Genomic DNA, 27,969 nt, shown 5'->3' on the forward strand with positions numbered 1-27,969 from the left:
GTGAGCACATATATGTTATTTAGCATATTTGCCCTCATATAGTCAATGATAGCTATTTTTTTTCAAAATAGCAATCAGTAGTTTCAGTGATAATGACTACAGCCTTTCCCACTGCCCTTTTTTTAAATATTAAAAAATACTTAAAAAATAAACAAGTGTTACATATCCAAATTCTTCAAGTTTGACAACATTATAAGCTTTTAATTGTTTTTCCAATAGGTGAGGGTTTTTCCTGACTCTTGCCAAGTCCTTACATACTCTTGCCTGGCCTATTTTGTCACCAAAGCAGTATGGATAGGCAGGTTAGGATCTACACTGTGGCTATAAACATGGTGAAAGTAGCTAATCCTTGTGGAGGCTTCTTACCACTCATAGAAAATGCCTAAAAGGTGTATTACGCTCACTCAGTATGAATGCAGTATTTTCAGCATACCCATAATTAAATATTTAAAATATTAAAAAGTTTGGATTAAGGTCAACTGAGATTTATGAGTATCATTTATTCCACAGGCGTTTAACAAGTACCTCACATGTGTCTAGAGGCCTTCTGAGAACTTGTAGTTTAGTGTAGGAAAAAGATACGTATAATTGCTGTTTCATAGTGAAGTGCAAGTGCTGGAATAGAGGTATAGTTTTAAGGCATATAGAAACACAATCCTCTCATCCTTATTTCATATATTTCCATCACTGAAACAAAAATTTACCTGAACCCCAGAACCACCATCAAAATGAAGTTTCATGGAAAGGATATAGGATCTAAAAGTAATGGGGACAGGGTATGGTATGCATATTTCTATTCTTCTGTTATTGGATACAAAGCACTTTGTTTGCTAAACCCCTACAATGAGAAAGAACGCAGATCTATTTAATATTTAGTGGCTGTATAACCTGGGAATAAGTATATTTATTTGTTGGGGCTTGAGAAGGTCCAATAAATGGCATACCTCCTTTCCATTCTGGGTTGTGAATATAACTAAGATGAAGAATGAATAAACTAATATAGAGGCCTAAAAAACACCTTTATTTGCTGATAAAACTATTGGAGAAGTTTTTTTTTAGGAGACAGGGTCTCATGTGTTGCCAGGCTGGAGTGCAGTGACTATTTATAGGTATGATCATGGTACACTTTAGCCTTGATGAACTCCTTGGCTCAAGCAATCCTGCTGCCGCAGCCTCCCAAGCAGCTAGGACTATAGATGTGTGCCACTGTGCTCAGCAAGAGAATATGGGTTTCATCTTAAGGCCAGTAAGCTTCTTATCACTGAACTCTAGAACTGGACAGATTTACCCTGTCTCAAGCATTGCTCTACTGGGCCAGGCCTCATCCTGCAGAGGCAGAGCCTGATCCCATAGAAGCAGAACAGAATGAATGTCTCTTCAGATGGGCTGGTCCCAAACAGGAGTGGGGAGGAAGTGGGCTAATTGCACCTTGTTTCTCCTTCCAGATTTACAATTGGGCAAGTCACTTTACCTAGGGCAGAGTGGATAAGGGGATGAAGAGTGACGACAGTGTTATGCTACTGGAGCTTCCTTCACATGGAGGAAAGACGCATTCCCTCTTAATATTTTAGAATATTTTAAATCTTAACAAACCAATAATTTACTTGTTTATGTCTCTCTCCTTAAGATTGTCAATTCAATGAGAATGAAACCATGTTCATCTCTGTGCACACAGGGACTAGCATGCTGTTTGGCATATAGCAGGCAGTCATATTGGTTAACTGAACAAATGCAGTATACTTTGTTACAGTGGACTTTAATATATATGGTAACTTATTAATTGACTCAGTGAAAATTAATCTATAATATACTAAGAACTCTCTTAGGCAATAGAGATAAAAATGAATCAGAATGTAACAGGATAATGTCAAGGTTTTTCTTTTGAAAACAAACCAGCAGTTAGATTTTTGAGGAAAATATAGTTGGAAAGCCTGACTCTCACTCACTGGACCATATGGACCAATCTCTTGACTGCTCTATACTGCAGATTCCCTGTTTATAGCTAAACAAATGACAAGGCTATTTTGAATAATGATTGTCAAACTTTTATAGCTATTACCAAGGCATTATGAACTCAAAATGTTTACTTTCTGGTCTTGTCTTCTTGATCTGGGTAAGACTGAAGAACTAAGATGAAAAGGATATTTTAAAATTTCTTTGAAATTACATATGATTTACTAATAGATATTACTTTGTAAGAAAAAATATATCTAATAACAAAACAAAATACGAATTTAAATTTTCCTATGAGTTTCTTGAGAGTAGGTACTAGATATCAATGTTTGCTGAATTGAAGTCATTAAGAAAAGCTTTGTTTTATGTAATAAATTTAAGATGGGTTAACTTAAACTACATTAAGAAGCAGGGATAAACTGGTTTTTGAGTATCAAATATTTAAAAAATACATGTAATAATCAGAGCTCAATATTTAGCAACTCTACAGATTTCATATTAAGTGTTGTAATTTGCACTAAAGCACACATTTATTTATTTAGGTAATGGAGTCTTGCTCTGTCACCCAGGCTGGAGTGCAGTGGTGCTATCTCGGCTCACTGCAAGATTCTCCTGCCTCAGCCTCCCGAGTAGCTGGAATTACAGGCATGTGCCACCATGCCTGGCTAATTTTTGTATTTTTAGCAGAGACGGGGTTTCACCATGTTGGCCAGGCTGGTCTAGAACTCCTGACCTCAAGTGATCCACCCGCCTCAGCCTCCCAAAGTGCTGAGATTACAGGTGTGAGCCACCGCGCCTGGCCTATCATTTTAAAATTTATTGTTTTAGTTCATTACCAAAAAGAAATCAATCTCCAACTATATGGTAAGTCACTTTGAAAACCCACACAACTTTGTTGTAATAATCTTTCATTTTATAGAAAAATGTAATTATGCAATGGTTATCAGGAAAGTTAATTCAGTAATAAATATGTAGGCTAGGGAATGGTTTACAAATATTCAACCAATACCCACAAAATCCTGTATGATTTACACAACTGTTCAAGCAAACATAAGAAAACTCTGGTTCAATTTCTATTAACTATCAAAAGGACAAAATGCTCTTCTATCTCAAACCAGGTCTGAGTGACAGCTTTTCAATATAATAAAGACACACACCTGCACTCACACACACACAATAAAGACACAGTATCTCTTCTCATTCTAAAACACTTCCTCTTTTAGTCCGTATACACTTCGAATAATCTTGTGTAGTAAATTTTTGCTGCAACTGACAATGTTCAAAGTAAATCTCTCCCGGTTTGGTGTTCTAAGAAGCCAACAGCCACAGCAGGATGAGCATTAATACTACTTCCAGAATCTATAAAATCCCAATGCTATTGCCAGGCAAGTAAACACCGAAGCTGTGAAAAGAAGAAACTGTGTTATAGGTCTTGTATCTGTAATTATTTTGCAGAGATAAAGAGAATAATGTTATCTTTAAGTGAAGAGCAAAAAACAGGAAATCCAACCAATTTTCTATCCTATGTTTTTTATTCCCTAGACAATTAAGTATGAAAGACATTCTTAAGGGCAGCCTTAATGCCTAATTCTTCTTAAAAGCACCTGTATATTAAAATGTAAATTATGTCATTTAGAAACCTATAACCTGTATTTAAAATCATTAACGCTAGCATTATTGACTACTTTAAATAATTATAAGCTCTAATTTCAGATCTCATGATAAATGAAATCTTTCTTATATTAAAAAATTACGTAGTTAGGCTAGTAAAATATACATATATCTGTGAGAAGAGAATTTTAATTGCCTTTTCAGTACATTTTTAAATAATTTCTCATAATTCTTAATAAAATTTTAATAAAAACTCTTTAAACTCAATGAGGTAGAAGAAAAGGCAGAAAAAGCATTAGGTTTTTAAAATAGTTAATATACTACCTGTACTTTAGCTTACATCATTTTGGATAAAAAAAAATTCAGTTTTCCCAGCTTTTAGAAGGTAAGTCTGAGTGAGGCCTTTAGGGACTCCCTAGTCTCCAGTTTGTTTAAAACACCGATGAATGAATTTTTAAAAACAGACAAGTGAGAGATGAATGGAAAACTTTTATGAATAAAGACACAAGAAATTAGCCTTTCAAAGTAAAGTTATTCATAATGTATAAACCCATTTGTACACCACCCCATTTGATCCTACTACTTACTGAAACTTGGTTAATGATAAGATCATTTTCTCAGTTTTAAGAAATGGGATTAGGCATCTCTAAGAAATATAGAGAAGTAATAACACTAAGAGTTTCTTGTCTTACAGCCACTGGGCAATTATATATTCTCCCATTTGATCCTGCTACTATTTGCTGTGTGTCAAGTACTATGCTACTATGCTGAGCAATTACACACACTACTTTATTTAACCATGAGATTGGTGGTATTATCCCCATTGTACAGATGAGGTAATACACCCAGTTACATCGCTAGCAAACAGTGGAGCCGGGATTTAAGACTAAGTGTACTTGACTCCAAAGCCATTTTTTTTCTCTTAATAAAAAAACACACACACAAAATTTGTGATCCTTATTATATACTGTGACACTTGAAAGACTCAATCTGTCATTTATTTGAGTCACATAGTGCTATCTAAGTGGTTACATCCTCTGCTGATTCAACAGCTGATAAATTAAGTTTTAGATAACCAAATGAACACTTATTGTGAGGTGAAGTATACTCTACTTCAGTAGAGTATACAATCGTTACTGCATTTAAGTTTCTCTCTCATGTCTTGCTGCTGTTATTTCAGCTTTTATTTCTCATGGCTGTTGTTGCAGTAACAACAACAATTGGAGCCATCTCCAATTTCTTTTAAGTTTGCTGTTTATCCTCTATACCCTGTCTAGGGAGACATTCTACATATATGTAAAATGCTTAGGTGAGCATATGCCTGGTACATTTTAAGCACTCTGTAAACATTAGCTTTCATTATTTATCTGCCACGAACAAAATCTGCCACATTATCTACATAGATTAAATGGAAATTGCCATTATTCCTTGGTGGCAGTGTTCTGGGTCAAAAGGTGGCGTCTGACCCACGATGAACCATTCAGACTCCTTTCTGAGGATTTTAAAAATTGGAACTAAGGAAAGAGGGCAATCTCTCCTGATTAGTGAAAGTGGAATGATAAGAGTCTAGGTGGTAATGTTTCCAACCTATGGAGAAAGCTGGTATGAGAAATTGAGGCACACAGTCACAGATTTAAAGAGTAAGTTCTGATTCCAATTATGCTTGTAGGTAGGCTATTTTACTTGTGCCCCATCCACGGTTCAGCTGATGGCTGGGGGCTCCATCTTCAACCCTGCTGGCACCTCAACATCAGTAGTGACTGCCCAGAAAATGACTAAGAGTATAAATCGGCAGTTTTCTTTTAGACAGCAATTTGTTAATATCAAAAATCTTAAATGTGCATATCTTTTTGACCCCAAATTTTAAATGTACATAGCAAGTTGTTATATAGAAATACTAGCACAGGGCCACCAAGATATGTGTGTGTGTATGTGTATTTACTCAAACGTTAACACATATATATGGCTGTTCAATACAGTATTGTCCTTAATAATAAAAAACTGAAGGGAGAATGCCTGTTAATAAAGGACTGGATACATAAATTGTGGCATTTTCATATAGGGAATACTGTGCTTTCTAATAAAAAGATGTCTGTGTGGAAAGAAATAGGACATTTGGTTAAACTTTAAAAAGTTGTAGACTATAAAAAATACGTGATCTAATTATTTTTAAGAAGTATATAAGATGTTTATATACAGAAGAAAAAGCCTAGAAAATGTTTACTACTAATAGTAAATACACACGGGGAGGGGCTTTCACTTTTTCGGCTTTTGAATTCTATGAATAATTTATAATGAAATTCTGGGTTGAAAATTCTTTTCTTTAAGAATGTTGAATATTGGCCCCCACTCTCTTCTGGCTTTGTAGAGTTTCTGCTGAGAGATCTGCTGTTAGTCTGACGGGCTTCCCTTTGAGGGTAACCCGACCTTTTTCTCTGGCTGCCCTTAACATTTTTTCCTTCATTTCAACTTTGGTGAATCTGACAATTATGGAGTTGCTCTTCTCGAGGAGTATCTTTGTTGGAACCAACCCAAATGGCCAACAATGATAGACTGGATTAAGAAAATGTGGCACATATACACCATGGAATACTATGCAGCCATAAAAAATGATGAGTTCATGTCCTTTGTAGGGACATGGATGAAATTGGAAATCATCATTCTCAGTAAACTATCACAAGAACAAAAAACCAAACACTGCATATTCTCACTCATAGGTGGGAACTGAACAATGAGAACACATGGACACAGGAAGGGGAACATCACGCTCTGGGGACTGTTGTGGGGTGGGGGGAGGGGGGAGGGATAGCATTGGGAGATATACCTAATGCTAAATGACGAGTTACTGGGTGCAGCGCACCAGCATGGCACATGTATACATATGTAACTAACCTGCACATTGTGCACATGACCCTAAAACTTATAAAAAAAATTTATAATGAAAATACATTACTTTTTATAAAAGGAAAGAAAAAAGACAAGTAATAGTTGACTAGGGCATTCTTCCTAAATCACTGGGGCCCTGTAATTGGGTCAGGTCAGATGGTACTTGAGGAGCTCAGTATGTGACAAATAATCTAATTTTGGGATAGTGTCTATGCTGAATCAGTTGATTCAAGGTAAGGTCATCTGTCCCTCCTCCAGGTTTTTAATGGGCTTATATCTAATTTATTGATCTTTTTTCTCTAACCTCTTTCAAATCTTTATGGAAGAACATAAGCAATAAAAAGAAAATTTTCATTTTTTTTTCCACTGTGGAGTACCACAGTTTATCCTTCTATCATTTTCTGCTTGTGTTTATATATTTCTTTTATATCCACATGCTTTTTCTATTAGTCAGCTGCAGAGTTGCCTGCTAAACTTAGATTCTGAAGGGTAACACATCTGTGAGGATGACAGAAGCTTAACATTTAGAACTGTCCAATACTACACCCTATATGTTCCTTCCTTTGGCTGCGTCTAATTTGTAATCTGCTATAATAAAAATTATAAGTATTAAAAATAAAACCCAAGACTCCAAAAAATATATCCTGAGACTGGAACCTTCTTTAAGCACTACAGGGGACCAAGCAATAAAGGAGCCTTGTTATCTAGCTCCTCCTTTTTTTCCTGTGCCTGCTCAGTTACCTTGATAGGTAGAACTAACAGGAAAATTAGATGACAGCAATTTCTTTCTCTGACAGTCTTACCTGCAAGATAACGAATTGTCTCAAGTTTGTTAGATTCCATCAGTGTTTTTAAGGAAGCAATTTCAGCGTCAATTTTATTACTGGTCTCTGAAATAATACTTTTGGTTTGAGTATCCTGTGGTAAACCAGAATAAGAGAACTTAATTTTGTCCCTATGTATTAAATGGACAAAAGCATTTACATTATAAACCCTCACTTATGGGCTAATTGTGATATAAAAGTCTTAGTTGGGGAAACATTAAAAGCATAGTGGTGTAAAAAAATTTGAAGTGTTCCAAGATGGCCAAAAGGGAACAGCTCCACTCTGCAGCTCCCAGCGTGATCAACGCAGAAGACGGGTGATTTCTGCATTTCCAACTGAGGTACCTGGTTCATCTCATTGGGACTGGTTGGACAGTGGGTGCAGCGCACGGAGGGTGAGCTGAAGCAGGGTGGGGCATTGCCTCACCCTGGAAGCGCAAGGGGTCAGCGGATTTCCCTTTCCTAGCCAAGGGAAGCCATGACAGACTACCTGGAAAAATGGGACACTCCTGCCCAAATACTGCACTTTTCCCAAGGTCTTAGCAACTGGCAGACAAGGAGATTCTCTCCTGTGCCTGGCTCAGCGGGTCCCACGCCCACGGAGCCTTGCTCACTGCTAGCACAGCAGTCTGAAATCGAACTGTGAGGCAGCAGACTGGCTGGGGAAGGGGCATCCGCCATTGCTGAGGCTTGAGTAGGTAAACAAAGTGGCAGGGGAGCTTGAACTGGGCTGAGCCCACCACAGCACAACAATGCCTACTGTCTCTAGACTCCACCTCTGTGGGCAGGGCATAGCTGAACAAAAGGCAGCAGACAACTTCTGCAGACTTAAATGTCCCTGTCTGACAGCTGTGAAGACAGCAGTGGTTCTCTCACGACAGCGTTTGAGCTCTGAGAACGGAGAGACTGCTTCTTCAATTGGGTCCCTGACCCCTGTGTAGCCTAACTGGGAGACATCTTCCAGTAGGGGCTGACACACACCTCATATAGGCGGCTGCACCTCTGGGACAAAGCTTCCAGAGGAAGGATCAGGCAGCAATATTTGCTGTTCTGCAGCCTCTGCTGGTGATACCCAGGTAAACAGGGTCTGGAGTGGACCTCCAGCAAACTCCAACAGACCTGCAGCTGAGGGTCCTGACTGTTAGAAGGAAAACTAACAAACAGAAAGGAATAGCATCAACATCAACAAAAAGGTCATCTACACCAAAACCCCATCTGTAGGTCACCAACATCAAAGACCAGAGGTAGATAAAACAACAAAGATGGGGAAAAACCAGAGCAGAAAAGCTGAAAATTCTAAAAATCATAGTGCCTCTTCTCCTCCAGAGGATTGCAGCTCCTTGCCAGCAATGGCAAGAAGAAAACTGGACTGAGAATGACTGATGAGTTGACAGAAGCAGGCTTCACAAGGTCGGTAATAACAAACTCCTCCAAGGTAAAGGAGGATGTTTGAACCCATTGCAAGGAAGCTAAAAACCTTGAAAAAAGATTAGACGAATGGCTAACTAGAATAAACAGTGTAGAGAAGACCTTAAATGACCTGATGGAGCTGAAAACCATGGCACGAGAACTTCGTGATGCATGCCCAAGCTTCAACAGCTGATACAATCAAGTGGAAGACAGGTACCAGTGACTGAAGATCAAATTAATGAAATAAAGCGAGAAGACAAGGTTAGAGAAAAAAGAGTAAAAAGAAACGAACAAAGCCTCCAAGAAATATGGGACTATGTGAAAAGATCAAATCTACGTTTGATTGGTGTACCTGAAAGTGGGAGAATGGAACCAAGTTGGAAAACACTTCAGGATATTATCCAGGAGAACTTCCCCAACCTAGCAAAGCAGGCCAACATTCAAATTCAGGAAATACAAAGAACATCACAAAGATACTCCTTAAGAAGAGCAACCCCAAGACACATAATTATCAGATTCACCAAGGTTGAAATGAAGGAAAAAGTGTTAAGGGCAGCCAGAAAGAAAGGTCAAGTTACCCACAAAGGGAAGCCCATCAGACTAACAGCGGACCTCTTGGCAGAAACCCTACAAGCCAGAAGAGAGTGGGGGCCAATATTCAACATTCTTATAGAATTTTCAACCCAGAATTTCATATCTAGCCAAACTAAGCCTCATAAGTGAAGGAGAAATAAAATCCTTTACAGACAAGCAAATGCTGAGAGATTTTGTCACCACCAGGCCTGCCCTAAAAGAGCTCCTGAAGGAAGCACTAAACATGGAAAGGAACAACCAGTACCAACCACTGCAAAAACATGCCAAATTGTAAAGACCATCGATGCTATGAAGAAACTGCATCAATTAATGGGCAAAATAACCAGCGAACATCATAATGACAGGATCAAATTCACACATAACAATATTAACCTTAAATATGAATGGACTAAATGCCCCAATTAAAAGACACAGACTGGCAAATTGGATAGAATCAAGACCCATCAGTGTGCTGTACTGAGGAGACCCATCTCACGTGCAAAGATGCACATAGGCTCAAAATAAAGGGATGCAGGAAGATGTACCAAGCAAATGGAAAGCAAAAAAAAAAAAAGCAGGGGTTGCAATCCTAGTCTCTGATAAAACAGACTTTAAACCAACAAAGATCAAAAGAGACAAAGAAGGCCATTACATAATGGTAAAGGGATCAATTCAACAAGAAGAGCTAATTATCCTAAATATATATGCACCCAATACAGGAGCAGCCAAATTCATAAAGCAAGTCCTTAGAAACCGACAAAAAGACTTAGACTCCCACATAATAATAATGGGAGACTTTAACACTCCACTGTCAATATTAGATAGATCAACGAGACAGAAGGTTAACAAGGATATCCAGGACTTGAACTCAGCTCTGCAACAAGCAGACTTAATAGACATCTACAGAACTCTCCAACCCAAATCAACAGAGTATACATTCTTCTCAGCACCACATCACACTTATTCTAAAACTGACCACATAATTGGAAGTAAAGCACTTGCACTCCTCAGCAAATGTAAAAGAACAGAAATCACAACAAACTGTCTCTCAGACCACAGTGCAATCAAATTAGAACTCAAGATTAAGAAACTCACTCAAAACTGCACAACTACATGGAAACTGAACAACCTGCTACTGAATGACTACTGGGTACATAACGAAATGAAGGCAGAAATAAAGATGTTCTTTGAAACCAATGAGAACAAAGACACAACGTACCAGAATCTCTGAGACACATTTAAAACAGTGTGTAGAGGGAAATTTATAGCACTAAATGCCCACAAGAGAAAGCAGGAAAGATCTAAAATCGACACCCTAACATCACAATTAAAAGAACTAGAGAAGCAAGAGCAAACACATTCAAAAGCTAGCAGAAGGCAATAAATAACTTCTGCTGCTTCTTATCTCTTTCAGAGGTAAGAGATAAGAGACACAACAAACCCTTAAAAAAGAGATAAGAGACACAACAAACCCTTAAAAAAACAATCAATGAACCTAGGAGCTGGTTTTTTGAAAAGATCAACAAAATTGATAGACCACTAGCCAGACTAATAAAGAAGAAAAGAGAGAAGAATCAAATAGATGCAACAAAAAATGATAAAGGGGATATCACCACCGATCCCACAGATATAGACTACCATCAGAGAATACTATAAACACCTCTACACAAATAAACTAGAAAATCTAGAATAAATGGATAAATTCCTGGACACATATACCCTCCCAAGACTAAACCAGGAAGAAGTTGAATCTCTAAATAGACCAATAACAGGCTCTGAAATTGAGGCAGTAATTAATAGCCTAACAACCAAAAAAAGTCCAGGACCAGACAGATTCACAGCCAAATTCTACCAGAGGTACAAAGAGGAGCTGGTACTATTCCTTCTGAAACTATTCCAATCAACAGAAAAAGAGGGAATCTTCCCTAACTCATTTTATGAGGCCAACATCATCCTGATACCAAAGCCTGGCAGAGACACAACAAAAAAAGAATTTCAGAGCAATATCCGTGATGAACGTCGATGCGAAAATCCTCAATAAAATACTGGCAAACCGAATCCAGCAGCACATCAAAAAGCTTATCCACCACGATCAAGTCGGCTTCATCCCTGGGATGCAAAGCTGGTTCAGTATACACAAATCAATAAACGTAATCCATCACATAAACAGAACCAAAGACAAAACCACATGATTATCTCAACAGATGCAGAAAAGGGCTTCAACAAAATTCAACAGCCCTTCATGCTAAAAACTCCCAATAAACTAGGTATTGATGGAACGTATCTCAAAACAATAAGAGCTATTTATGACAAACCCACAGCCAATATCATACTGAATGGGCAAAAACTGGAAGCATTCCCTTTGAAAACCGGCACAAGACGAGGATGCCCTCTCTCATCACTCCCACTCAACATAGTGTTGGAAGTTCTGGCCAGGGCAATCAGGCAAGAGAAATAAAGGGTATTCAATTAGGAAGAGAGGAAGTCAAATTGTCCCTGTTTGCAGATGACATGATTGTATATGTAGAAAACCCCACTGTCACAGCCCAAAATCTCCTTAAACTGATAAGCAACTTCAGAAAGTCTCAGGATACAAAATCAATGTGCAAAAATCACAAGCATTCCTATACACCATTAACAGACAAACAGAGTCAAATCATGAGTGAACTCCCATTCACAATTGCTACAAAGAGAATAAAATACCTAGGAATCTAACTTATAAGGGATGTGAAGGACCTCTTCAAGGACAACTTCAAACCACTGCTCAGTGAAATAAAAGAGGACACAAACAAATGGAAGAATATTCCATGCTCATGGATAGGAAGAATCAATATTGTGAAAATGGCCATACTGCCATCCCCATCAAGCTACCAATGACTTTCTTCACAGAATTGGAAAAAACTACTTTAAAGTTCATATGGAACCAAAAAAGAGCCCGCATGGCGAAGACAATCCTAAGCAAAAAGAACAAAGCTGGAGGCATCAAGCTACCTGACTTCAAACCATATTACAAGGCTACAGTAACCAAAACAGCATGGTACTGGTACCAAAACAGATATACAGACCAATGGAACAGAACAGAGGCCTCAGAAATAACACCACACATCTACAACCATCTGATCTTTGACAAACCTGACAAAAACAAGAAATGGGGAAAGGAGTCCCTATTTAATAAATGGTGCTGGGAAAACTGGCTAGCCATATGTAGAAAGCTGAAACTAGACCCCTTCCTTACACCTTATACAAAAATTAATTCAAGATGGATTAAAGACTTAAATGTTAGACCTAAAACCATAAAAACCCTAGAAGAAAACTTAGGCAATTCCATTCAGGACATAGGCATGTGCAAGGACTTCATGACTAAAACACCAAAAGCAATGGCAACAAAAGCCAAAATAGACAAATGAGATCTAATTAAACTAAAGAGCTTCTGTACAGCAAAGAAACTACCATCAGAGTGAACAGGCAACCTACAGAATGGGAGAAAATTTTTGCAATCTACCCATCTGACAAAGGGCTAATATCCAGAATCTATAAAGAACTCAAATTTACAAGAAAAAACAACCCCATCAAAAAGTGGGCAAAGGATATGAACAGACGCTTCTCAAAAGAAGACATCTATGCAGCCAACAGACACATGAAAAAATGCTCATCATCACTGGTCATCAGAGAAATGCAAACCAAAACCACAATGAGATACCATCTCACACCAGTTGGAATGGCAGTCATTAAAAAGTCAGGAAACAACAGATGCTGGAGAGGATGTGGAGAAATAGGAACGCTTTTACACTGTTGGTGGGAGTGTAAATTCGTTCAACCATTGTGGAAGACAGTGTGGCAATTCCTCAAGGATCTAGAACTAGAATTACTATTTGACCCAGCAATCCCATTACTGGGTATATACCGAAAGGGTTATAAATCATGCTACTATAAAGACACATGCACACGTATGTTTATTGAGGCACTATTCACAATAGCAAAGACTTGGAACCAACCCAAATGTTCATCAATGACAGACTGGATTAAGAAAACATGGCACATATACACCACGGAATACTATGCAGCCATAAAAAAGGATGAGTTCATGTCCTTTGCAGGGACATGGATGAAGCCAGAAACCATCATTTTCAGCAAACTATCACAAGGACAGAAAACCAAACACCGCATGTTCTCACTCATAGGTAGGAATTGAACAATGAGATCACTTGGATACAGAAACATCACACACTGGGGCCTGTCGGGTGGTGGTTGGGTGAGGGAGAGCATTAGGACCTAAGGTAAAATGATGAGTTGATGGGTGCAGCAAACCAACATGGTACATGTATACCTATGTATCAAACTTGCACGTTGTGCACATGTACCCTAGAACTTAAAGTATTAAAAAAAATTTTTTTTTAAAAACACTATAAACTGACGAATTACATTCCTTCTGCTTTCATATTTGGAGATCATCTTTTAGGGGTATGACATACTGGGCATATTCTAAAAACCTCATAATAACATATTTATACCTGAATACATAAGATGATAAACTAAGAAGCAAAAAATTAGGTCACAGAACTATCATTTTATGTGTGTGAAGTCCTTAGGATATTATGGTTAAAACTTTAAATATATTCTGCAAATGGAAAAAAAAATAACCAGGTGTATAATATGAACTGGCGCCAGTATTAAAGGAACTGGCATAAATAACCTGATGGGTAACACTGATACAGGTATAGGGGACAAAGGGTAGGGAGGACAGATGAGACCTAGAGCACAGAAAGTAGTTGTAAAAGATTTTGCTGATTTCCTTGCTTATCTCCTTTATCTGGCCAAGAAGTAAGGGAAGAGAATAAGATCTTTGAAAGAACAAATGTGACCTTCTCTTCTATTAAATTATGAGCAAGAGTGACATATTTTCTGTTAGAATGTGGACAAATGGCTTTGAACTTTTAAGAAAAGGACAAGGCTGAGTCAGAAAGCTGGGTTTTACTCAAGCCACAGAGATGAAGTCATGATTACATTGTAGGATTACTGAGAAGGAGAGCAGTAGTTCCAAGTTAGGGATTTAGAATCCAGGTTCTTTTCCCTAGTGACACCACTTATTAACTGTGGGACCTTAACCCCTCTGTGCTTCATTTTCCAAATTGTTAAAATGGGAATAATAGTGCCTACCTCACAGAGACTGAAATGAATATTAAGTGAATTAACAGATATAAGTAAAGCATGTAAAATGGTATCTGGCACATTAAATAAACACTAAATATTAGTGTTTATATGTTATTAATATATAGCTTTTTTAAAACCTTAAGATAATTATTTAACTGAACCTAGGCACTCATTTAAGTACCAATTATGAAATACCAATAGTGAATCTTTGTCTTTTAAAAAATAGTTATTTTCTTTTTTTTTTTTTTGTTTTTGAGACAGGGTCTTGCTATGTTGCCCAGACTGGTCTTGAACTCCTGCCTCAGCCTCCCAAAGTGCAGGATTAACAGGTGTGAGCTACTGTGCCTGGCCCAAAAAATAGTTATTTTCTATTATAGAAGTAATTTAGTTTAAAAAAGCACACTATGTGGAAATCTTGATTCTTACTTCAAGGTCATGGCTCATGGGCGACCATCTACCTGGTGCCAGGTTCCCCAAAAGTGCTGGTTAACTATAATAGCTATGAGGAAGCCAGAGACTCTACAAGGGTAGTTTTTAAAAGTCTAAACTTATAAACTGGTACACATAAAAGCAGTTATACAAGGCACAAGAACTGTACAAAAGAGACATTTTTACATATTACTTTACCTTTTTTGTAAATTCTGTAGTTGTTTCCATAAGTTGCTTTTCTTGATCTGTAAACTATAGGATATGAAGCAGCAGGAAGTTAAAAAAAAAGTCTAAAAATAAAAAAGGAGTAAGTAACCAAGAAAGTACATTTAAAAGAACATTACCATATCTGTTACTCTGCTCCTTTCTAAGTTGATATCCAGTTTATTATCTGCTCTGATTCGACTGGTTTCATGCTTTAAAGAAAGCAAAGATATTTAAAAAATGATCTTGTAACGAATATTTGTTCTGAAATTAACAGCTAGAAAAAAAATTCACTTACCATTAGTTGTTGCTTAACTTGGTCTAATTCAATTTTCATTTTCTAGGTACAGGAAAGATCACATGCAATTAGCATTAAACCAAGTCTATATTATGATTAAAAAAATCTGAAACCCTAGATTACCAAAATTTGGACAATCTATGGATTTCTAATACAGAATTGATAAGGAAAAAAATCTTCAAAAGAAACTAGTAAGCCACTGTATTCAGAAAATAATTCTTATGAGCAAAATGCATTTGTTTTTATATTATACTTTTAAAAACTGATTTTCTAAATTTAAAAATAAGCTATAGTGGATAACATAACTTAAAATTCTGACTTAATTACAGAAATATACTTTTAAGTCACAAAGACATTTAGTACAGGATTAAATAAAATAGAAAATGCCGTATTACTCTCAGCTCTGAAACCATTATATACAAATTTTATATATATAGCTCAAAGATTTTGTTTTATGTGGTTTTATATGTATAAAATGTAACTCTTATTCTCTTCAGTATGCAAAGCACTATGATTTATATAGAAAAAGATTAGGTATGGTTAAACAAATAGTATGTTTTTAAATCTAAAAACTTATTGTTTACTAACCACATGGAATTATTACTTGGTCTTATTAACTTATTCCTTAAGTAGGATGCTTATTATGAGATCAGTTATTTTATAAGTAATAAATTAAAATTTGTATCACCTCATTCTCTGCTCTCAGATTTGCAAATTCACTTTTCTCTAGGATGACCATGTCTTTCCTGATAGCATCCAAATGAGCCATTAGCTGTTGTACTGTTATTTCCTAGAAAACAAAATAAAAATAACCTAGTGATCTATAGAAAGCCATCTTTTTATTTACAGAATTGTTTTCATGAAATTTAAATGAATTTGTTAACATGCTACAAGGTATAATGTTGACTGGTTAAGTAAATATGAAACCTACATATCTGAAATATCAAAATGAAAAGAAAGAGATTCAAGGAAGAAAAAAAGGATTTCCTAGTGAAGAGAGATAAATTTGTAGGCCTTTGAATGAAAAGAATCTCAATAAAATGCTTCCTTAGACCCTAAGAGTTCCTCAAAAAAAATAATGTTTTGTTCTTATTTTTTGAATACCCAGATGGAAAGGGTTTTATCTCTTATTACTTTGATTTTGAGAGATTTTCTACCACTGGAAAATTCCATGGTATTGGATACGACTCAGAAGTCAGGCAGTAAAACAAAATAGATGTATAGTTAAAATAATTGCCCTTTGTCCGCACAACATAACCAATTTTGTTTAAATTCCTGGGTATCCTCCCTATTATTTGGCACTACAAAGAATATGTGAAAGGTAGCACTTACCTGATAGATTTATAAGCTTTTGCCTCGTTAGGGAGGGACAATTTTGTAGAAATGATTTAAGACAGCCTTACAAAGAAAATATAACTGTTACAGATTGAATATCCCTAATCCAAAAATCTGAAATCCAAAATCTGGAACTTTTTGAGTGCTGACATAACACTCAAAGGAAATGTGCATTGGAGTATTTTGGATTTCAGATTTGGGATGCTCAACTGGTAACTGTATTGCAAATATTCCAAAAAAAAAAAAAAAAATTTGAAATCTGAAACAATTCTGGTCCCAAGCATTTCAGATAAGGGATATTCAACCTGTAGCACTAAACTTCTTAAAATCAGGTAGCTTGCTAATTTCTCTATCCTTTACCAAAAGAAAAAGCAGATGAGGTATAACCTTATTAAGGACTCTGTATAACAGTTTAGAAATAAAACAAGAAAGCCCAAAAAAGAGTGTGAGTTCTGGAGTCAGGCTGTCTAGGTTTGAACCCAAACTCTGCCATTTACTGTGAGATGCCAGCAAGTCATTTAACTTCTCTGGTCTCCTCATTGGTAAAATGGAAATAGTAACAGTACCTGGTACAACTTAAAGAGTTGTTTTGAGGATTAAATGAGATTATGTACATATAATGCTTAAGACAGTACTTGGCATATGGTTAGCACTGAGATGTTAGCTATTATTATTACCGATGGGACAGGGATCTAATGGCTGAAGCAGGATAGTCTAATGCTAATGTATTAATGTGGAGGAAGTTTGGACTTCTTATAATACATAAAAGTTTTTAACTGTGTACAACAGACATTGCTGACTCATGCCTTTTCTAACCCTCATATATTACTGGGGAGGGTTGTTCATTTTCTTTTATTCAGTTCTGCTTGACATATTTTATGAGAATTAATTCAGAAGTCACACAGATGTGGCCTCTAGGGGCTGGCAGTCGTGTTTGCCCCAAATATCACTATAAAGGAATTATATGACATTAAAAATAATGTATTCTTATTACTGAGATTACATAGAAGTTGGAAAGCTAATTACAGACTTCTTGTGGTGTCTGAACCTGAAAATAAGGGATTGTACTGTGGCCTTTTTGAGACAGAGCCTTGCTCTGTCACTCAGGCTGGAATGCAGTGGCGCAATCTTGTCTCACTGCAGCCTCCACTTCCTGGGTTCGAGTGATTCTCGTGCCTCAGCCTCCTGAGTAGCTGGGACCACATGCACCCACCATCATGCCTGGCTAATTTTTTTGTATTTTTAGTAGAGACAGGGTTTTGCCACGTTGGCCAGGCTGGTCTCGAACTTCTGACCTCAAGTGATCTGCTCACCTCAGCCTCCTGAAGTGCTGGGATTACAGGCGTGAGCCACCACACCAGCCTTAATGTGGCTCTTAAGAGCCTCTTTTTACCTCATTCTTCCTTTAAATACAGACTCAAAAAGCCTACAAAACTGCACAGGTGTCCATCTGTAACAACTTTAAATGTACACATAATCCATTGTTAAGTAGCTAAATCTATTAAAAGTGTGATTTTTTTAAACTACTATGGAGCCATCAGAGAATATTCAGATTTTAATCAAAATCACAATATAATCAAATTTTCAGAATAAGACTTTATTATTTTATTTTTTCCCCCTCATCCTGCTAGCTGACTTGTTTTCATATGGCCCTTTCTGAAGTGATCAAGTATGCAGCTTAATGGCCTATGACCCTGAGCCTTAGCTTCACCCTTCATGACATCTCTGTGCCTTATTCTATACTAGAGGTGGGGTCAGCAATTGAATTAGGTTCAAGAACAGAACAGGATTATTTAACTTCAGACAGCAGTAATAAAAAAGCCAAAAGTTTAATAGTGATATTTCTATACTCAATCCTACCTCTTGTATATAGGATTAAATGGTCCTGGCAGCACAAATATTCCTCAAATCACAGCTTTATTTCACTCCCTATATTATAGGTAAACTTAAAAATTTAAGACAAAATTACTTTATTAAAAGTATCAGTAGCTCCATATAGCTCTTTCAGGACAGCTCGGAGCTTAGGAGTAACTAATTAGATGTTTGGCTTTTTCTTTAGTGGATTTAGTAGTCTGTTATGATCCTAAAAATGCATGTACAAACTTAAAGGTAAGTTAAATGTAGGGATTGAATGTTTCAATTTTAAATGTCTAATTAATTGGACATTTGTCTACTATAATTGGAGATTACAGTTTTAATTTTTGTTTTTTTCTTTTTTTGAGATGGAGTCTCTGTCACCCAGGCTGGAGCGCAGTGGTGCAATGTTGGCTCATTGCAACCTCCACCTCCCCAGTTCAAGCGATTCTCCTGCCTCAGCCTCCCGAGGAGCTGGGATTACAGGTGCCCACCACCATGCCCGGCTAATTTTTGTTTTTTTTTTTGTTTTTTCAAGTAGAGACAGTGTTTCACCTTATTGGCCAGGCTAGTCTTGAACTCCTGACCTCAAGTGATCTGTGTACCTCAGCCTCCCAAAGTAATGGGATTACAGGTGTGACCCACGGCACCTGGCCATAGTAGAAATCTGTAAGATCTTTTGATCTACCATGACCCTTTAATGAAATTTTATGCAAAATATTCTAATTTTATATAAGAAATCCTGATTTTTCTCTGTGCTGTAAAATACTTATCTGAGGAAGGAAGCCTAAATTTGAAAAATTAAAATGAAAAAAATATAACCATAGGAAGAAAACAGATTCCTAAACATAATACATTATTTCATGACTGACAGAAATGAATTATTATTCCAGTTAAGTTCATTTAGTTTATTCAGTCCTTTATATAAAATTATTGCTTTTTGTCCATACCACCACAGTGAAAACTCTTGCAAACTACTCAATTTCTCTGAGCCTGTCTTCAGTGGCCAAATAGAATTCTGCTTACTTTTCAAGGTTATTAGAGATTAAATAATATACGAAAAGTACATAGCATTGTGCCACTTACATGTTAAATTCTTATGTTTGACTTTAAGGATTTTTATATTCAGTTAAATTAAGGCGTCTTAGCCAGGGAATTTATAAAGTCCCTCCCAGCCAACTAAGTCCTTTCCAGCTATGTCTGTGAAAATTAACCAATGTGTATGTATAGCAGCAATAAAATATACTGAATATATAGAAAGATTAGCTCTTCTGTGGTGAGCTTTCTAGAGGGAAAAAGTTGTTTCACAAACAATCTACCACCACTCATGAATAACACAATATAATGATCTCATCCCATCAAAGATTTGGCAAAATACCATTCTCTGTTACCACAATATTATTACAACTATTCTAACTATTCAGTCTCTCTAAATACTGACTTTATTCAATGTTTTTTTTTGTGGTCCCTTTAGAGAGAACAAGGAAGATATAAGCATGTTTGGAAGGTCAGTAGGTAGACAGAGACATAGTTATGAAATGATTGTCTAATGAAAGTATCAGAAGTGATAGTAATCAGTGTATTACCTGTTGAGCTTGAGTGACCATCTCTTTATAGATAGTATCCAGGCTGACATTTGATAAAGCAGTTAACGCTGATACAATTGTTTCTGCTTGTGTTTTGTCAAATCCTGTAGGCAGCAAATAGGTATTTTATTTTTTTTAAAGTGTATATCCTTATCAAAATAGACAGCAAGAGTAACTCCTCAACATTTAAATTGTTATACTCTTTTAAATAATGGTTACAATTAAAAAATTGACAGATAATACTAAATTACTCTCTAAAAGAACTCTACAACTTTAGGCCGGGCATGGTGGCTCACGCCTGTAATCCCAGCACTTTGGGAGGCCGAGGTGGGCAGATCACAAGGTCAGGAGATTGAGACCATGCTGGCTAACACGGTGAAACCCCATCTGTACTAAATATACAAAAATAGCCAGGCGTGGTGGCGGGCGCCCGTAGTCCCAGCTACTCGGGAGGCTGAGGCAGGAGAATGGTGTGAACCTGGGAGGCAGAGCTTGCAGTAAGCCGAGATCGCGCCACTTTACTCCAGCCTGGGCAACAGAGCGAGACTCTGTCTCAAAAAAAACAAAAAAAAAACAAACAAAAAAACAAACTCTAAAATTTTAATTCTCATTCTGTATCTCCCCACATCTACATTAACACTGGATATGACTTTTTTTTTGAGTGTGTAATTGGCATAAAAAATTGTATTGCATTGTTATTTTAATGTTACTTAAATTTGCATTTCCTTGGTTTGTAGAGAGGTTAAGCATTACATATACTTTTTGTTATTTATATTTATTTTTCTGTGTTCTGCTTGTTTATAGCATTTGCCCACCTTTTTCTGTAAAACTGCTTGTTCTTCTTTTACATTTAGCTTTTCATCTATCTGAAATTTAGTTTTCAATAAGGGGATCTAATATATTTTTTCCCAGTGGCTAGTCACTTATTATGTCTCATTTATTAAATAGTCCTTCCTTTCCCTAATTTGTAATGCCTTCATCACATATTAAATTCATGTCTGTGTCTCTTAATACCATTTTGTTCTATTAGTCTATTCCTTTAATATCACATAATTTAAATTACTGTTTTGATATCAGGTAATTTTTTGTGCTTTTTTTTTATTTTTTAATCTCAAACATTTGTACTTCCACACGGACTTTAGTTTAACCTAGAAACTCTAGTTTTTTTTCACTTAATTGGAATAATTCTGCACATATTATTTCATATGCTTTTTTCAATTAACATATCTTGAACATTCCCCATATCAGTAAATATTTCTCAAACAGTATCATTTTTAGTGACTATAAAATATTTCATTGTATGGATGGTACATCTATTTAGTTACTTTTGATTGTTCATAATAGTGATATTGTCTTAACTAGGCATTATGAGTGCTATTAATTTTCTTCTTTCAGGAGGTATCCATGTTTCTCACCATGAGTTTCCAAGTCCTGAACCAATGCATGGGTATCAAAAGTTAATTTCCTTTGTTCTAAAGGAGTTATATCCACTGGCCGCCTATCATATCCCTCCTTGGTTGTGGTAGTGAAGAACTCTGAAAGAGAAGACAATTTTTTTCTTTTGTAGTAACTGATAGCTTACAAAGCTACTTTAGCTTACAAAGCATTTTCCCCATCCATTTATAATATAGTTCCAGCTCTTCTAGTTTTGTCATCTCACCCAAGTTAATTGACTCCTCTGAGCCTCTCTTTTATCTGAAAAGTCTCTGACGTTCTTCTGTACACACCAAACATTCAATAAATGTTTCTTTTCCCTCCTTTGGTATTCAGAAATGTTAAGAGTCAGTATAAACTTGTAATAAAACACACATCAAATGCTTTGGTTATCACCACCTCAGCTCTAATTACTGAAAAGCAGAAACTGCACAATTCAATTCTTCTCTGTGCTCAGTAATAGTCTTTCAAAGAGCTATGAAAATTTTTTACACTTAATCCCTGTTTAAAGTAGCTTTCCATACTCCCACTCACTTATATATCCACAGTTTATTTCCTACGTAGTTCTCAGCTCCAACATGAAATTATCTTATTTGCTGTTTGTATCTCTGGATCAGAATGGAAGTTCCATGATGCTTTGACTGTGGTTTTCACTACTGTATCTTTAGCACGTAGAACAGTGCTTTGGCACATAGTTGGGCCACCAAGTTTTACTGTTGATTCAATCAATGAATTTGATTTGAAATCATGGACGTATTTACTGGTATCAACATAAGAACCCTAAGAAAAATTTCTCATTTCTGAAATAACCCTTCTTGTCCTATTTCAATAAATTCCCCAAGTTTTAACCTAGACACAGTAAAGACCTTTTCTATATATTGCTGATGAATTTATTACAAGGTGCCCTGCCCATAAACAACTTTTGGGAAGGTGAAGGAGTTACCTTTACAGAGCCAATGGCAGAATTAGGATTCAGACTCAGGTACTTCTGACTCCAAATCTTACACTCCATGCTGTCTCTCTTATGTATCTTAAGTCACTTAAAATATCTAGATATTTAAAAGGCTGCAACTTCAGGCATTATTTTTCCACTAGTACTGTGTAGGACAAATGTGATTCCTTCTTTATATCCTTCTAGCCTAATGAATATTGATTGAGTGCTAGAACTTGTGCCAGGCATAGGGGATAAAATCATAAGCAAAACCAGACATAAATGATATTCTCACTGATTTTATGGACTAGAAGGCAGGAAACAGATATTGTTTTTTTTAAAAAATCTAACAATAAACTCTAAATTCAAATGATAAAAGATTCATTAAAATACTCCAAAAAATTCTATTTAACTGAAGAGATAAAAGCAAGTAGCTGTAAATAAAGGTGGAGCAATTTTTAAAAACACACATATTAGTACACTGGTCAGTAATCTTTTTCACTTGAATGTCATCTAGAAGGGTAAAGAACTATGCCTTTGTGTGTAAATATCAGACCTAAGGTAGGAGAGAAAAAGAAAAATTAGAGGAAAAAGGGGCAGATTTCAGTAGTTTCAATAACAACTGCATTAGGAGTAATGATGGTACTCTTAGTTACATATTCCTGATTAGAAGTTTATTTGGATTTAGAAAAAAAAAATCAGTAATAATATTTAAATAATATTTTACTGTTTTCACATCTATTACCCCATCCTTAAAATTCTCATTTTATGGATGAGGTAAATTGAGGCTCAGGGCTAAGTATGGATGCTCCTCAGCTTATAAAAGGGTTATGTCCCAATAAATCCATCATAAATTGAAAATATCCTAAGCTGAAAATGCATTTAATACACCTAACCTGCTGAACATCACAGCTTAGCCTGGCTTACCTCAAGCTTGTCGAGAACACTTACGTTAGCCTATAGTTGGCCAAAATCATCTAACACAAAGCCTACTTTATAATAAAGTGTTGAATATTTCATGTAGACACCCAGATGGGCATTTTGTAAACACGATGGGATGCAAAAACAAAACCCAAAAACCCTGGCAATACTAAGTATTGGTTGTTTGCCCTTGTGATCAATGGCTAACTGGGAGCTGCGGCTTGCTGCCCCTGCCCAGTATTGCAAGAATACTGCATTATCGTTAGCTTAGGAAAGGATCAAAATTCAAAGTACAGTTTCTACTGAATGCACACTGTTTTTGCACCATGGTAAAGTCAAAAATTTTTAAGTTAAACTATCTTAAGTTGAGGACTGTCTGTAATTAGTCTGAGATCTTATGGTCTCATAGCTAGGCAGATTAGTACAGTTCCTCTGACTTAGTCAACAAACACTCTGAATACCAGCAGCTTCCTGCTAAATTTGGGATAGAGACCAAATACCTTAACAAGCCAATAAATCTTTGTAGGGTGCAGCTCGTCTCATGTCCTACTATGCTCTCTCTGGTCCTCTGCTTTCAAGGGCTCTTTGATTTTAATTCCACAAACATGCCATGTGCTTTCCCTTCTCAGGGCCTTTGCCTAGCCCCTGCCCTGTTCAGAAAGCTCTCCTTTTCTTTGCCTGCTCATGTTTATCCTTCAGAGCTCAGTCTGAATGTTTCTTCCTCTGGAAAGCCTGATGACTCCTTTAGGTTATGTCTCTCTCATGATGGTTTTTCATAGTACTGCACAGGATTCTTTTGCAAACCCTCTCATAATTTACACATTTATGTGACTCTCAGTTGTCTCCCCAAGAGACCAGCAGTCAGCCAACTATAGCCCATAGACTACCACCGCCTGTTTTTCTAGTTTTATTCATTAGAACTAGATAGTTTTATTAGAACACAGCTCATTCATTTATGGATTAATCTATGGCTACTTTCATGCTACAGTGGCAAAGCAAATAGTTGTGACTGACCTTACAGCCTACAAAGCCTGAAATATTTATTAGGCTCTTTACAGAAAGTTTGTCAACCCCTGCACTAAACTATACAGTCCTTGAGAGCAGGGACCACATCTGTTCTTGCTCACTACTGAATCCCCAATGCCTACACAATTCTGGATGCTCCATAGATACTTGCTGAATGAAAGGCACTGTGCTTGGCATTATGTATACACAATGATGAATAATACAAAGGAGAAGCATTTGGCCCTCCTTGAGAATAAAGGATCAAGAATGGCTATTTGGATGATGGTAGAACTATATTAAATCTGAGAGAAGTTATCCAGACAGGATGAATGAAATCAGCAAAATCTAGGCATGGGCTGCCTTTGCTATTCTCTTGGCTTCTATTTATTATGGGGTTAAGGAGAGCTGAGAATACAGAAGGATATGTAAAACATTATTCCTTATATGTGCTCAAATATTCACATAATATTTTGCTTAGTCCTCCCAATCCTATGAGGTAGGTATTGACACCCACTGGCAGTAGAACTTTGGGTTTCACTCCACTTTGGAAGCCATAAGGAACTGGAAAAACCATTGGATATTCATAGTAGGGTGTCATAATCACTATTCCAACTGTGTCATGGGCAGTTCAGTGCATAAGCACTCATTAAGAATGTCTTTACAGGCCGGGTGCAGTGGCTTATGCCTGTAATCCTAGCACTTTGGGAAGCCAAGGCAGGCGGATTGCTTGAGCCTAGGAGTTTGAGATCAGCCTGGGCAACGTGGGAAGATTCTGTCCCTACACAAATTACAAAAACTAGCTGGGCATGGTGGTGTGTGCCTGTAGTCCCAGCTACTTGGGAGGCTGAAGTGGGAGGATCACCTGAGCCTGGGAGGCACAGGCTGCAGGGAGCCGAGATGGCGCCAAGGCACACCAGCCTGAGTGACAGAGACCCTGTCTCAAAAAAATAAAAAATAAAAATAAGTAAGTCTTTGCAGCCATATTAATAGGTAGGGGAGATGAAGTGCCCAGAATCAGTGTTTCCAGCTCAAAGTGGAATAACAGATCCTTAATAATTTGAAGAGTTTTGTACAGACTTAAACATCTGTACAAAACCCCAAACCTTTCCTTTCATTGTTACTACTTTTGTTTCTTTGATACCTATCTTGTGGATTTGTTTGTTCGTAATAGCGAGATACAAACTCAAGAGTTTAAAGGTTTAACCAGTTTCACAAAACTACTAAGTCATAGATTGTGGATTGGAACTCTGGCCTATCTTGCACCAAGCTCCTCTTTGCTGGAAAAGGTCAAATTTTACTTTTGAAAAAACAACCAAGCAAACATGTAAAGTGTTGTCCCATTAAATTTAAGCTGCAAGTTTTATATTAATTTACTGCTAATTTTACAGCTGAAACACTTCAGTGTATAGCCAGTTACTTTTCTGTCAGGAATTCAAAAGAACAGGCATTAACAGCATATATTCTTACATGCTGGTCTACTAACGTGCTACACTAGTTGCACTAGAATAACTAAGGTCCTTCCATTGGTCAGAGGTCAAGGTTTTCAAATCCCTTGATTATTGACATTATTAGGCAAGTTTAAACTACTTGTATAAAATAAACATTCAATATTTGTTTAGTGAGGAAGGACACAAATCCTACTAGTTGTAAGAAGAGATTTAAGGTTTCTCCAAGAACACTCAGATTCAAGTGGGATAACTTTTATGTTAAAACATTAACATGTACTTATGGTCATTTATTTCCCAGTATGATATACACTTCAAAGTTCATTCTCTAAGAACATTTAATTTTGTTTTCATTTGGATATGTAAAAGTCAACAAAGATGGCAGCTGGATGACTTCCTGGAGTTCAAAAGTGCTACCTCCTTTTTGTAAAATCCATCATAATGTGTATGTATGCTAAACACTCAAATACCTAACAAAAGAGACCTTGTGAATGACCCTGGCAGCTAAACAGCAATCTCACAGATGGAGGATCAACAACTGCAGTTTTGACTGCAGCTGTTACTGGTGTGGATTAAAATGAAACAATGAGCAAAATAGCACAAGTAACAATATGGAGTATAAATAACAGCGTAGAAGTGTTTGGGTACCGAATGGCTCAGCGTACCTGGCACTGAAGATTCAAGAAGGTGAACAGAGATAAGAGGTGCCTATTCGCCTATTTTGTGGACAACCTTAAAACGGTTTAAAAACTGGGAGGGAAGTTAAAAAACTGGGGGTGAAAAACAACGACGACAACAAAAACCTAGCCCTAGAAACATTTCTCTGAATAAAGTTAGATGTCTTCAGGACACCCTGTTAACAGGGGTGCCAACAGGTTGGAAACTTGTGGGTTCCAGTATTCACTTATTTTCCCAAAGTCTACAATGTGACTGAAATGTACTGAGAATTCCAGTGAGAATAAGGCAGACGTGGCCTGAAATTTATGATGCTGTCTACCAAAAACCTGGGCTCGAGGCCAGCACCTAAAAAAACAAAATCAAAATTTGATCAGGCCACAAAAGAAAACAGGACACCCTCAAACACAGATTACCTTACGTTGGCTCCTGACGAGATTACTAGCCTCTTGTCACCAAAAAACGGAAACAACGGCTGAGAAAGAAGCCGGGCGCGAAGCCCAGGCCTTCAAAGGTTCGCTTTAAGAACAGAAAGGCAGTGCTTTCCTCAGTCCTCGCCCCTTGGGGCGAGCTGGGCAAGTCGGGGCAGCAGGCAGCGGCGTCGCCCAGCACAAGGCGTGAATCCGGGAGGAGGGCGTGGCACCTTCTCTTCCCGTTCGCTCGAGCAGGCGCGACCCCACGGGCATCGTCTCCCTAGAGAGCACTCAGGCATCTATGACACGACGCCTTGCCTCACCTCTCCGCAGGGCCGGCGAGAAATGCCCGCGGGGCCTTGAAACCCAACGATCTCCTCTGCCTTGGGAGAGAAAGAGCCGCCAAGCCTGGCGACTATTCATGTCCTCAGAGTTTTCCGGTGGGAGGGAGGCGGAAGACGGGGTAAATCTCGCACAGGCTTTCGGGCAAGGTAGTTCTGGCACCACAGGAATGCTGGGAATTGTAGTTTTCGCTCTGTCACAAGCTCACCTCCCAGCGCAGGCGCCACCGTGGTCCCACGAAACTGGGTCTCTTCACAGACAGACCCACAGTTCGCGAGCATGGCTCAGCGCTGCCCCGCTTCTCCCAGCGCCCCTTCCCGACCTTTGAACGCCTTCACCGCCCTAGGAAAGCGAGATCTTGTCAGAGAACCTTCCGGCGCCTGTTTCCTGGCAGTGGGGCATAGTCCAACAGCTGGCTCCCCCAAGATAGCCAGCGGCCATTACGCGCTTGGGTCGGGGGAGATGGAGTCGCATTTAGCCGCACAGCAGCCTGGAACCTGAAGTTTTCGGCCGCTGAGCGTTCTGGGTGATTGCGTAGTGCGAGGGCCAACGAAACCTTCTGGGAAGTGTAGTCCAGCAAGCCGCTCACTTTTCGTGAGGCGTCACATCCTGCTGCTTCACCCTCTGGTGCACGGGAGGACCAACTATTTCAGTCGGTATGTCCTTTCTTTAGGGAAGCCGAATTCCTC

At 37.6% G+C, this 27,969-nt stretch overlaps 2 protein-coding genes and 1 long non-coding RNA gene across 9 annotated transcripts in view, besides 5 other annotated features; 2 read left to right on the forward strand and 1 right to left on the reverse strand.

Moving 5' to 3' along the window:
* Nucleotides 1-5,671, forward strand: part of ANKRD42 (ankyrin repeat domain 42) — a 70,571-nt gene extending 64,900 nt beyond the window's left edge. Inside the window, exon 13 of the mRNA NM_001433541.1 lies at nucleotides 1,446-5,671. Within this exon, the coding sequence (NP_001420470.1) occupies nucleotides 1,446-1,497 (52 nt within the window). The 3' untranslated portion in view covers nucleotides 1,498-5,671. The remainder of the gene's footprint in view (nucleotides 1-1,445) is intronic.
* Nucleotides 470-27,756, reverse strand: CCDC90B (coiled-coil domain containing 90B). 7 transcript variants are annotated; one of them, NM_001286116.2, is made up of 9 exons: nucleotides 27,489-27,756; nucleotides 21,530-21,649; nucleotides 20,115-20,218; nucleotides 16,028-16,129; nucleotides 15,340-15,381; nucleotides 15,182-15,253; nucleotides 15,036-15,089; nucleotides 7,254-7,368; nucleotides 470-3,355 (listed from the first exon to the last, which is right to left on the reverse strand). In NM_001286116.2, the coding sequence occupies exons 3-9, from the start codon at nucleotides 20,133-20,135 to the stop codon at nucleotides 3,300-3,302; spliced, it is 462 nt and encodes a 153-aa protein (NP_001273045.2). In that variant the 5' UTR covers nucleotides 20,136-20,218; nucleotides 21,530-21,649; nucleotides 27,489-27,756; the 3' UTR covers nucleotides 470-3,299. The 7 variants fall into 7 exon arrangements, with proteins under 7 accessions (NP_001273045.2, NP_068597.2, NP_001273048.1 ...); NM_021825.5 differs by having other exon boundaries at nucleotides 27,262-27,756; NM_001286119.3 differs by lacking the exons at nucleotides 20,115-20,218; nucleotides 27,489-27,756 and adding exons at nucleotides 26,516-26,600; nucleotides 27,262-27,367.
* Nucleotides 26,529-27,125: an enhancer, noted in NCBI's record as "H3K27ac hESC enhancer chr11:82996183-82996779 (GRCh37/hg19 assembly coordinates)". NCBI's record gives its function as "activates a minimal SCP1, AML or CMV promoter by ChIP-STARR-seq in primed H9 embryonic stem cells {active_cell/tissue: H9 hESC(primed)}" and the evidence as "EXISTENCE:reporter gene assay evidence [ECO:0000049][PMID:30033119]".
* Nucleotides 27,014-27,093: an enhancer, noted in NCBI's record as "active region_5352". NCBI's record gives its function as "activates an Ori minimal core promoter by ATAC-STARR-seq in GM12878 lymphoblastoid cells {active_cell/tissue: GM12878}" and the evidence as "EXISTENCE:reporter gene assay evidence [ECO:0000049][PMID:35858748]".
* Nucleotides 27,126-27,721: an enhancer, noted in NCBI's record as "H3K27ac hESC enhancer chr11:82996780-82997375 (GRCh37/hg19 assembly coordinates)". NCBI's record gives its function as "activates a minimal SCP1, AML or CMV promoter by ChIP-STARR-seq in primed H9 embryonic stem cells {active_cell/tissue: H9 hESC(primed)}" and the evidence as "EXISTENCE:reporter gene assay evidence [ECO:0000049][PMID:30033119]".
* Nucleotides 27,126-27,793: a biological region, named in NCBI's record as "H3K27ac hESC enhancer GRCh37_chr11:82996780-82997375".
* Nucleotides 27,144-27,793: an enhancer, noted in NCBI's record as "active region_5353". NCBI's record gives its function as "activates an Ori minimal core promoter by ATAC-STARR-seq in GM12878 lymphoblastoid cells {active_cell/tissue: GM12878}" and the evidence as "EXISTENCE:reporter gene assay evidence [ECO:0000049][PMID:35858748]".
* Nucleotides 27,509-27,969, forward strand: part of CCDC90B-AS1 (CCDC90B antisense RNA 1) — a 140,270-nt gene continuing 139,809 nt past the window's right edge. Inside the window, exon 1 of the long non-coding RNA NR_186344.1 lies at nucleotides 27,509-27,936. This is a non-coding gene — a long non-coding RNA (CCDC90B antisense RNA 1). The remainder of the gene's footprint in view (nucleotides 27,937-27,969) is intronic.

Source organism: Homo sapiens, chromosome 11 (genome assembly GCF_000001405.40).
Source record: "Homo sapiens chromosome 11, GRCh38.p14 Primary Assembly".
Classification (NCBI taxonomy): Eukaryota; Metazoa; Chordata; class Mammalia; order Primates; family Hominidae; genus Homo; species Homo sapiens.